At 39.5% G+C, this 12,581-nt stretch overlaps 1 protein-coding gene and 1 pseudogene across 2 annotated transcripts; one reads left to right on the top strand and one right to left on the bottom strand.

The window, feature by feature from the left end:
* The first annotated feature begins 5,431 nt into the window (after positions 1-5,431).
* On the top strand, positions 5,432-9,086 carry LOC124901178 (translation initiation factor IF-2). Its single transcript, XM_047418005.1, has one exon. It carries the CDS (start codon positions 6,379-6,381, stop codon positions 7,177-7,179), a length of 801 nt encoding a protein of 266 aa, XP_047273961.1. The 5' UTR covers positions 5,432-6,378; the 3' UTR covers positions 7,180-9,086.
* On the bottom strand, positions 7,371-7,814 carry LSP1P3 (LSP1 pseudogene 3; annotated as a pseudogene). The gene has a single exon (NR_033961.1). The product of NR_033961.1 is annotated as an LSP1 pseudogene 3 (transcript).
* Positions 9,087-12,581: the final 3,495 nt, after the last annotated feature.

Raw genomic sequence — 12,581 nt, 5'->3', positions numbered from 1 at the left:
CCTTATAATGTGTCAGAAATCTATATAAATATTACCAAAATAAATATTATCAATGATAAGCAGAGATATTAGAACATTCATCTTGTTAGTGAAATTACTATTCTTAGTCGTATTTATTGAAGCATAATTTAAATACAAATGTTTACAAATTTATTCTACAATTTGATGAGTGCTAACTAAAATATGCAGTTCTGTATGATCACCATCACAATTACAATAGAGATTATTTCTATCACTTCCCAAAATTCCATGTTGTCCTTTTCTAAAGAATAACTTTCTGTTGCCCCAAATACAAATTAACTTTTATCTTAATTATTAAGATTTTAAAATGCAAGCTGACATATGTATGTGTGTGTGTGTCTGTGTGTGTGTAGAATCAGATATTTAAATAAAAAAAATCTGGCTGTTGTACTTTAAGATAATTTAAGATAAAATGACATTATAAATTATCATGGTGCTTATAAAGCAACCCCTCTCCTCCGGGGCGGGGGGGCAAGAAAAAAAAACTTAGATTTTTGTCCTGTGGCTGGGAGCAAAAAAAAAAAAAATGACAAGAAAGACAATTTACCATTTTATTTTTATAATTCATGATGTATATAGAGTATAAAAATTTTTTTTATCTAATATTAAAACTTTGTGCTTTACATCAGGGTAGAGTGGTTTTCAAAGCTTTATCATATGATGTTGATGGCACATATGCAAGTATGACTATAAATAGGAACAAGCTTTGAGGAGATTTGCAATAAAATATTGATAGCAATAGAGAAAATGTTCAAGTAATGCCCAAAGCTAAACTCTAAGAGGATCAACATGTAATTGACATAGTTTGCCCATCCCATGGGTCTTAATTTCCAACTCATCCTTGAGGAAATTGTGTTTCCTTAATGATTCTTCTGCTATTGTTGGAAAAAAATGTTAACTTTCATCTTTAGTGTTCCCCAAATTAAGTAATTGAATTATTTCCCATTATACTTTTACAAAGGGTAGACTTTATTGAAGCTCTTGCCAAATTAAAACAAACACATACTAAATGTTAACAAGAAAGACAGTGAAAGAAAAATATGGTCCACATACATTATGTAAATTTATCTTTATTGTGTGTATACACACACACACACCACATACACATAACAGAAATATACTATGTATTTGTATAAAGTTGTGTAGGAGATATATATATATATGCATTCCATAATTTTATATAAGTGAATACATATTATATATTTATATAAATTGTATATGAGGATATATATATTCCATAATTATATATAAGTAATTATAGTACATAGTATACAATTACGTAGGATATATATATATATAACACCTATATATGCATTTCTGTTAAAAGAATATTAAATATTGGCCTGAATATCTAAATGCATTTTAACCATGGATAAATTTTTCTAATTATATTTTTTTGATTTTCATGTATTTTCCCATTAATCTTGTAAAATTTAATGACAAAATCCTTAAATCCATTACTCAAGTATCTAATCATATTTAAAACATTTTCTACATGATTCTCAGTAGATTCATTACTGTCTTCAGAATGGTTTGTGTTTTTCAACAATGTCCCCCCTTGTTATATCATTCTACAAACACTTATTTTCCAGAGTATCATTAAGCATTAAATTTATACATAAATCAAATACAGAAATCCATCATCATATTGCCATCTGAGGGAAGATGAGCTTTCTTCCTAATGAAGCCTTCTAATTTTGATGTATTAGGAAACCTTTGCCTTTAAATCTGTATATTTTTACATAAGACCTTGATTTTAGAAAGCACATTTAAGCATTGAATGGGTAATGTATTAACTCAGAAAAATCTGGTAATCTCATTACAGTAATTAGTTTTAAGCGATATTCTATAATTCATTCTAAACAAATGAAATGGTTAAGAAATGAGATATGAATAAGTAGAGAGCCTGAGTATTTCTCTGGGCATAGACCTCAGTCAGACCCAGAAGGAAAACTTCTGGCAAGTTAGACATCACTACTGGGGGTAGGGAAGAGGTCAGAAAGAAGAAAGAAGAGAATGAAATTCATTGGAAGCAATTTGCAACAGATTCAGTACTTATTACCTGAATTTGATTTGAAATCTGGATTGACTGATTCCAAAGTTTCTATTCAGACTATGATGTGAAATGGGTATTATGGAATATCTGGTGAAAAAACTTTATATTCTAGTCTGGTAACAGTGTGAAAGTATATCAGCAAATTCTTTCCATTGTGCCTGTACCTTTTTTAAATGATATTCCCTGACCTTCAAATCTCAGATCTTCTCACCTCTCATAGACTAATTTGTATTTTTTAAATCAATACTTTCTCTACAGCAGATAATTCCTCCAGTACATGTTTTAGTATCTCTGGTTTCAGCACCCACACTCAAATAGATGCACAATTTTATTTTTTCCTTGACCTATGTCACTTGTAGTTTCTAAATATTTGGCATTCTGTACACACACTCATACAAAAATGTATATCCAAGAGTTTCCCATACCTACTTTCTCTCTTGCCATATACTTCATCACGGGCCAACCCACGACAATCTGAATTTCATGCTTTCCAGACCACTGACTGAAGCAACCCTTATTGATGTCTCCAATGGGTAGTTACAATCAAATTATCAAATCAATCAAATTATCTCAATCTACTTTTTCTAACTAGCCTACTTGGTCCTAGAATAAAATTTAAGCTCCTCATCAGAACACAAAAGGAGTTCAGCTTCTAGCTGTATCTCATCTCATTTGATACCATTCCTCCCTTTGCTCACTCAGAGCCACCACACTGACATCCTCCGTTTGCCTCAAAATTCAAAAAACAGAAAGTTGAGAAATAATGTTCACATGTTTGCAAAAGGTGGAATGGCTTTAATTTCATTCTATGTTTCCATTCAGTTTTCTAAGCTTAAAACATTTGGACTAATTTTTACCTTCCAATTCCTCATGAGAATTTTAACCTTAGAGGGATGCTAATGGCATTTTATAGGAATTTGACTCATACTTGTAAAAGAGACAGGGCCATGCTAACCCCAAGAAAAATAATTGTGTTAGTGTGCTTTTGACTAAAACTGAGCTACTTCAAAATTCAATGGTAAATATTACTTGAAAGGAAGAAAATTAAGCAGTGTTTTCTCTATAAATAATGTTTAAAGAAATAAAGCCTGATAATGCTGATAATGATGATGATACTCATATTCAGACTTTTAATTTTGAGTAACAATTTTTGAGTAATGAAATATATCCATGACCTGTGTTCAAGGTAGTGAAGTCCCTGACATTTTTTAAGTTCAAAGTTTTTATGAATGATTGGGTTGTGAGGTGAGCTGATGCAGCCTTTAGCAGCCTACAGTGAATGTAACCCCTGGATAAGAGTGTCTGTAAGACAGAGAGAGTTTCTTGTCCTAATAAGGTCAAGTTATGCAATGCTGCATAACTATTTTAACTATTTTATTCTCCTAGGTGGCGGGGGCCTATATAGAGGAAAGTTTGATGATTGATGTACTTGAAATCTGAAAATATCTATTTGAGCCTGACTCCGCTAGTTTGCAGCTAGGCTTTGTAACTTTGGGTCACCTCTGACCTTCAGGTGCTTTATCTTAAAAACTAGGAAAATAGTACACTCCTTAAGTCTCTTCTTTGCTTAATAGGAAGATCCTACAAAGCATTGGCAAACTTGCCTAGCAGTAGAACATGATGTAAAAATGTTATTATTATTATTTTTTTTACTAATAATGTATGCATGGACACTGATCTTTGTTCTTGCAGTTTGAACTGTTTTGGGCTATATGGTAGGCACTACGCTTGGCTCATAGAGATGATGATAACATCAGATACATTCTGGACTTTTGGTGTGGGGGCTGCTAAGAAAGTGGGGACTGAGATATCTTCCTTTTGTTTTACCAGCTAATCTAAGACAAGGGATGCAAAGATCCACATGCATCCATGTGATGAAGAACCCACATGGTTTGGATAGATATGGCTTTCAGTTATCTCTCTTGCTCCCCCAGAGCTACAACCAACATTTTAAATTTTCCCCAACCTACTCAGCAGAGTCCCGAATTCTCATTTTCAGCTGCTGGGAAATTCTCCTATGCATTTGGATTTTACCTTACACCTATGATTAAAATATTTTCTGTGTCATAGATATACAACCAACTTTCTTTCCATTTTAATTTTGATCCAGCCAGCCAGGACATGGTATAATATGCAGAAGAGAAAATAGAAAACACACAACATAGACTCTTTGAATTTAAAATAATGAATGCTATGATACCCCTTACTTTCCTTTCCCAGTTCTGCCAACTGAGTAGAAAGCACAGTAATGGAATTAATTCATCAAGTTAAAGACCTATCACATCATTATCTATTCATTTCATTATTCTGTGCAATCCATTCTCAAGTGCAGTTGAATATATCACTATCATATGATATGACTTAGGTAATTTTCTCCATCTTCACTTTCATCATTTTTGCTCAAAGCACCATATCTCTCACTTAGTCTATCTCACTGTTATCCTAACCAGTCTATCTACAGGTTTTCTTGTCTCTGTACAATCTTTTATTCATGAATAGCTGGTTTCATATTTTCTTTTTTTTTTCCTTTTTCTTTTTTTTTTTTTTTTTTTTGAGCAACAAGGCTGTTTATTTCACCTGGGTGCAGGCGGGCTGAGTACCAAAAGAGAGTCAGCAAAGGGTGATGGGATTATCATTAGTTCTTATAGGTTTTGGGATAGGCGGTGGAGTTAGAAGCAATGTTCTGCGGGCAGGAGGTGGATCTCACAAAGTACATTCTCAAGGGTGGGGAGAATTACAAATTACAAAGAACCTTCTCAAGGGTGAGGGAGATTACAAAGAACTTTCTTAAGGGTGGGGGAGGTTACAAAGTACATCAGTTAGGGTGGGGCAGAAACAAATCACAATGGTGGAATGTCATCAGTTAAGGCTATTTTCACTTCTTTTGTGGATCTGGGATGTGAGGAGCGCCTCTGCCCGGCCGCCCCGTCTGGGATGTGAGGAGCGCCTGTGCCCGGCCGCCCATCCTCTGGGATGTGAGGAGCACCTCTGCCCGGCTGCCCCATCCGGGAAGTGAGGAGCGCCTCTGCCCGGCCGCCCCGTCTGGGAAGTGAGGAGCGCCTCTGCCCGGCCACCCCGTCTGGGATGTGGGGAGCGCCTCTGCCCGGCCGCCCCGTCTGGGAGGTCTACCACAGAGGCCAGACGCAGTGTGGGGGCTGGACGTGGTGGCTCACGCCTGTAATCCCAGCACTCCAGGAGGCCAAGGTGGGTTGATCACTTGATGCTAGGGGTTCGAGACCAGCCTGGCCAACATGGTGAAACATATGAAAAATACAACAAACCAACCAACCAACCAACCAACCCAGCAACAACAAAACAGGTCTACCCTGGAGTCATACTCTATTTTTTTCTATTTTCCTCCCTTTCTGATCCTTTATCCCACTTTCTTTTTCTTCCTCTTCCTTCTCCTTCTTGTCAAAGACATAGAGGATTGAGTTATTATCACTGATCCATACAAAGTCCCTCTCTCATTTATTTTCTTTCATTCCCACCCCCCATTTCTATTCCTCGTCTTCGCATGTGCAACCTTCCTAATATGTTTGATATGCATCTTTTTGTTTGTATGTATTTTTAGAAAATGTTAAATAAAAAAAGATTTAAAACAAGCCCTGCAAAGGCAGGAAAGCTGAACTGGCTGCTGAGCCCCTTCTGCTTGGCCACGCAGTACCCACGCCTGTAGCCCCTGGAATCCTAGTGTGGGCTAAGGTGGAGTGGACCCTCTGGCTTGGTCACGGCGCAATGGGCCACCTGGAAACCATCCAAAAGAGACCTACCAGCCCGTGCCCTAGGTGCAGCTGCCACCTGCACGTCAGGCACCAGCAGCAATGGCCAGACCATCCCTGATTCTCCATGCCCTCCCCATCCCCGCCCCAACAGCAAGGACTCCCTGACAGGACGCTGTGGTAGTGGCTGTCAGGAAGTCGGCTGGGCGGGTGCATAAGGATAAAGATAGACTCTCAGCCCCATCCCGATGGCCACGACGTGCTCATCCCCTGGCAGCTCCTCAGCCCTATCCTAGTGGCCACAGAGTGGCATGCAGGCAGCAGCCTTGGGAACCCCGATTGCCCCTCCTCACACGTGCCCATCACACGACTTGGGCGACGGGGAGGTGAAGTCAGGTTGTGGCCCCAGCGGCGCCATGAGGAACGAGAACCTGCGCTCAGCCTCATCCCTGTGGCTGCAGAGTGCCAAGCGCCAGGTCCTGCACTCTGGGCGCGGGTCAGGAGCAGCTGGCAAGGGCAGCGCAGCCTGTGGGGCCCTTGGGCGTGGCCGGCCGCAGCTCCGGGAAGCCAGGTCAGCCCATGGGCGCTAGCCGCCACCAGCACATGGAGCAGGGGTCGCCGAGGATTGGGAATCTCCGACCAGGCGGGCGCCTCCAGCCGCGCGGACCCCGGGGCCAGCCCGGCCGCGGCAAGTCAGGCAGTCTGCGGCAGGAGCGCCGGGCATGGGCTTTGGCCCGGGGTGTAGGAGGCGCGCACCCTCTGGCCGGATGGGCGGCGCACTCAGGGCCCAGGAGGCCATCCCAGGGGAGCCCCGCCAGCCCCCGCCGGAGCCCGAGCTGCAGCTGCCACCTGCAAGTGGTGCGCTGGCTGCAGCAGTGGCAACCCCGGATCCCGTCCTCCCGCCTCACACCCATCAGCACGGACCCCGGGGGCGACGCAGTGGCGAAGTCGGGCTGTGGGCCCACGGGCGGCACCAGGCGGAGAAGCACCACTCAACCCCATCCCTGGGCTGCAGAGGGCCCAGCGCGGGGGCCCGGAGCATCGGGAGCCGGTGGAAGAGGAGAAGAGCGCGCAGGCCACAGTCAAACAGGCCCTGGGGCAGGGCGCGCCTTGCGCTCCAGGGAGCCCCGCCAGCCGGCGGCACCTGAGCAGCAACCGCGGCCTGCACTGGGCGCCGCGAGAGAGCTGCTAGGGCGGTTTCTCCGCCTAGGGCCTGTTGGGCGGGGCCGGCTAAGGTGCACGTGCTCGCTGGTCCTAACCGTTCTGTTGGGCGTTTCTGCTGAGAGGCGGGAGGCGCTGAGAGTATGTGCAAAGGTCCGTGGACGGACCGCATTGCTTGTTGTTGCGCTTCGGAGGCGGAGATCCCCGAAGGCGAGCTGAAATACGGCTGGAGAGTTCCCAGGATACAATTTGCAGCAGACGAGTATGGAAGACTACCAGCCGGAGTGGTGGCCCACCCTCAGGGAGCGCTTGTGCTCCGACGGCTTCTCATTTCCCCAATACCACATTAAATCATCTCATCTGAGGAGGATCCACAGAGCTGTCTTCTGTGGTAATCTGGAGAAACTGAACTACCTTCTGTTCACGTTATCATGACGCTGCCTGAGTAGTTGTCGACCTTGTTTTCACATTAACTGGCTGTTTTGTTGTGGCTGCACTTCTGTTTCATTACCTTCATCAGAATCATAGCTTGGAGGCTTCATAGCTCCCTGATTCAATTCTGTCCCATATTTCAACTTGTGGTATTTGGCTCTTTTCTGTTTAAGAGCATACTCCAACATTCTGATCATCCTCACGAGATCCTTCTTCAAATTTTCTTGGCCCTTCCTTTCTCCCTGTAGGAAGGCAATCTGGGCCGTAATTGTTGATGAGGTCTTGGAGCCTCCCTTCTGCTCCCAGAAGCTTTTGTTGCTCATGTCTCCAGCCACAATATCCTTGCAGGACAGAGTCTTGGCTGCAGACTGAGCCTGTACCTCACCCGTCTCCCACCGACTCTTGGTACTGGCCACGGCCATGCTGGGCAGCTCTATGGAGGCCTGGCGGGCTAGCTTGGGTGTCCTGCCAGTGGTACTTTCACAGCTGGGGAGTGGAGCCTGGGCCTGAGGTCTCCTGTGCGACTCTCCGCACCTGCGCCGGTGCCATGCGCCTCTCCGCGCCTTTTCTCACCATGGGGCAGCATTTCGGGGCCTCTTGAGGGACCCCTAGATGCTTCTACTCAAAGCCCCCAAAGCCAAGGAGCCTCCACTCCTCCGTCTGCAGCCCCCCCTCCCGGTTCTCGCTACGCAGGGTTCAGTGGCCTTGGGGCTGACGGAGGAGGTTGCGTCTGCCAAGGCCCCTACCAGCGCCTCCCTGGCTCATCCAGCCCACCTCCCTCCCACGCTGGCTCAAGCAAAGTGCTCTGGTCACCAGGAGCCCTTCCTGACCAGCCCCGGCCCCTTCTTGGCCTTCACCCCACCTGGCCTCCCCTGGAGGCCTAGCCTGGGTGCCGGGCCTGCTGGGTCCAGAGCCCACCCCGCCCTGAACAACCCCGAGCCCATATTTTCAAATATAATCAGATCATATACCTTCCTTGCTTAAAAAGGGCGAAACTCCATCTTAAAAAAAAAAAGCCTCAACATCTCTCTATTAAATATAGGATCTAAAGTCAATCCCATGGAACAAATAATCTTGAAAGGTTTCTAGACTGTCTTTTCGACTCACTTTGCTCTGTTTCAAAAAGGTTCACCAAGTCCCAAGAAAACAGAACAGCTTTCTGCTCATTGAACCCAGAGAACCCAGTTTTACACTGAAGATTTTATTTATTCTTCTCTCTGATTGGAAGAAAGCTACTTTCTTTTACTCTTCAAATAACAAGATAGTTTTTCATCCTTCACGTTAGGGCGTCTTTAACCAACTCCAAATTTCTTTCTGTCTTTCAAACCTTACAGCTTTCATAACACTTGAAACCATTTTACTAACCTGCTCTTTAAAATAGAGACAATCACTGTTTTCTTTATTTCTGGGTCTTTAATATCTAAAAGAGATATAGTAGATATGATAATATGGTAGGGGACAATGTATATGTAATGAGTATATGAGTGAAAGATATTGTGCTTTATTATGATATAAGGAATGGATAGATTTTACTATATTTTAAGCACAAAAATGGGTCAGATTTGGAATTGTATTCAACACTGAGGCAACAATGTAGAAGATGGCTTTTTAATACCTAATATTCTGATTTAATTCACTGTCCGAATGAAAAATACCCTTAGAAGGTTTGACTAAATACGTAATTTCTTGACCAAGTCTTGTTTTAGTCTTTCATATCCAAAAAAATATTTCGGGGATGCCACACTAGTGCAAATACCCTACTAGATGCAATTATATACAGAAGAATATTTTGCATTTTATTGATAAAAATAATTAGTTTTTAAAAACACTAACATTAATGTATTAATGAAAAGCCCCTACATGTATTATAATTAGAAATGAGTAAAAATCAATATTCTATAGGAATATTCCTATGACTTTAAAAAATCAAATTCCTCTGTTTCTTATACAGTTGTCTTCAGGAAAATCAACTGGTTTAAATAAATAAAAACATTCATTATTTTTATAATGGAAAATAGTAAATATGATAATCTTATAGAAAATGAAAAAAATAGATTGATGCTGTATGTGCAGGAGCGATACTGCAGATATATGGATAGATATGAGTAATTTTGGAAGCAACCTAGATATTAAGTGAAAGAGATGTAATGAGATTTTGGAATGATTAAAAGTAAAAGAAGAAAAAGTGTAGCGGGAGGTTTCAGGGTAGAACATGACTTGATTAATTATTTTGAGTGACGAAATAATTTCGTATGACTGAAAGTGAAAATAGAAGCTAAATGCCTTAATTAATTTATAGATAAATCAACCAAAAGTAATATCCTTCTGATAAAGTATATTAAGCAAAATTAAGTAGAATTTTCAATAAAAATGAAGACACCATCTATAGAGATTATTTATATTTTAATTCTGCCTGCCTTTAAGATGGTTTGGATATAACTCTATCCTAATGTGAGGTGTGCAGGAAATCATGTTTGATTCCTTCTAGCTTTTCCTGTGTGTAAAACTACATTTCCCTCTTCAGGCTATATGAACAATCATGCTTTGACTGTTCTTTATAATGATCAACTATTGGTTTCACATGCTCATGGTGAAGTGACAAAGTCAGCATAAAAGAGATTTCAAGAAAAAACACATATGCAAATAAATCTGGTGAAAATTTCAACTATTTGATGGAAGGTGAAACTTCTCCCAGTTACCAAAAATGTGTCCCTTATTAATATAAACTGGTCACACCTATTAGATTTTTCTTCAATAAAATCACATATCTGATTTAATAGTTGAGTAGCTTTTGTGGAACAGCATGCTATTGTTTCAAAATGATAGAGATCGCTTTTGCATCCCTTCTCAATTTATAATATTTGTTGAAATTTTCATATTTACCTTTACATAATAAGCATTTTATTTTGAGTTCAGTGAAATATACCTCTTCTCAGAAAATTTGTACATTGGTACTTTCAAAGTATACTAACATTTATATTAATACCCTAACTTACTCTTAGATACTAAATTGTCTAAATTTTTTTAATTTTACAAATGTAATTTTTAAAGGTCACATGCACTTTGTGTAAGAGTTTCTAAACAGCAGCATTATTGCTCTTTTAGGCTGGATAATTATTTGTTACATGGGACCTGTTTTAGGAGTTTTAGAATGTCCAGCAGCATCCATGGATTTTACTCATCAAGCCATTATCACCTCCACACTGGTGTTAAAAACAAGAATGATTTCACACCGTGCTAAAAATTCCTTGAGGGTAGGACAAAATAACCTCTGACTGAGAACCAGTACATTAAATAAGCTAAAATATACAGATCTTGATTACATTGTTTAGTTTTGATAAATTCATTTTCTCATGTAACCCATCTCCTATTAACACTAAGAACATTTTGTTCACCATAACATATTCTATAGTGTTGCTTTATTCCATTTATAATGGAATAAAAAATAAAATCCTTCAAAATATAGCTAATGAAATTTTAAAAACCTGTATAAGGAAAGTTAAGAAACATTACAAAAGAAAAATCATATAAATAAATCAGGAAGGTATTTAATGCTCATTGATTCAAAGAGTTAATTTAGTTAGGCAGTCAATTCTTCCTAAGTTTATATAAAAGTTCAGTTTCAATTTCATCAAATTAAATCAAATCAACACCTGAGCAGAACAGAAGTACTTTAGGGATAACAATATGAGGAGTCCTGTGGACTTTCTCCACAGAGAATCAAGTATAACTGGTTGAAATTTAAAAATAAATTAAACAAAAAACATTTAAGAATAATCACTATAAAATTTATAAAGAAAATATTATTGATATCCTAAGAGAAGATAAAATGAAATCACATAAAGTATTCAATTCATACCACAGAAGGCAAGTAAAGAGAGGAAGATAAGAAAAGAACCAAACAAGTGCAACTTTAGTAAGGAGTAAAATATGGTAGATATTAATCTAACTATATCAACAATCACTTGATACATGGTCTAAATAAAACAAATTAAAAGCAGAGAAAGATAGATGTAAACATTGTCAAGTAATTATTATTACAGCAAATCTAAGAAGTTATATAAAGAATTATATATAATGTATACCACAACTACACAAGACGTATTTCAGTTTTTCTAGGCTGTGTCAATACTTGAAAATATTATAAAATAATGTAATTTACCACATCAACAGGCTAACAAAAAAAAACCATGCGATGATATCCATCTATGCAGAAAAAGTGTTTGACAAGATCCAACACTTTTTTTCAAGAAAAAGGATTCTTAGCATATTAGAAATAGTGGAGGATTAATTCAAATCAATAAAGAATATATTTTTAAAAAGCAGAGCTAACATGATATCTAGTAGAGAGAAGCTAGATTCTATCATCCTATGATTGGGAACAAGGCTAGGATGTCACCTCTCATGTCTCCTATTCAACATTTTGCTAAAATCCTGACTAATGCAACAAGACAAAAAAGAAAATGAAAGTTACACAGTTTGAGATGGAAGAAATAAAACTATCTATGTTCATAGATAACATCATTGTCTATGTAAAAAAATCCCCAAAAATTGACCAAAAGAAAATTCAGCCACGAATAAGCTATTGCGGCAACGTTGTAACATACTAGTTTGATGTACAAAAGGTTGTTGCTGTTCTATATACCTTTGATAGACAACTGGAATTTGAAACAAAAAATACAATACCGTTTATAACAGCACTAAATAACATGAAGTACTTTGGTAAAAATCTAACAAAATATGTATACCATTTATATACCCACTCTTTCTTTGTCTAGCTAAGACAAAAATGATGACATGAAATTTCCCCTGGATCAGAGCATATATCGTATTTTTTTGCGACATTACTGAAACTCAGGTTAACGTTATAAAAGGTACGTTAATAGATATCACAATGTTCTATAGGGACAACAACTTCTGAATCATAGACACACGGTGAGTTCAGTTAATTCCATAAACATCTGCCGGAACAACTGCAATAAATCATGTTCTATGTAACAATGAACAAATTGGAACATTATTAGATGGACAGTGAGGTACAGTATAGCTCAAGAAACAATAGTAAAGAAAGTGTAGGGGGAGGGAGAGAGAAAGGTAAAGCACATCTATATCCAGATTATGTGTCTATTCCAGGACAAATAACAACTTCATGTATTATCAGAAGGGCCCAGTTTTTTTTCCCCACCACT

This window comes from Homo sapiens, chromosome 5, assembly GCF_000001405.40.
Source record: "Homo sapiens chromosome 5, GRCh38.p14 Primary Assembly".
Classification (NCBI taxonomy): Eukaryota; Metazoa; Chordata; class Mammalia; order Primates; family Hominidae; genus Homo; species Homo sapiens.
Note: the sequence above shows the minus strand (reverse complement) of the source record. Positions and strands in the feature narration are given on the sequence as shown.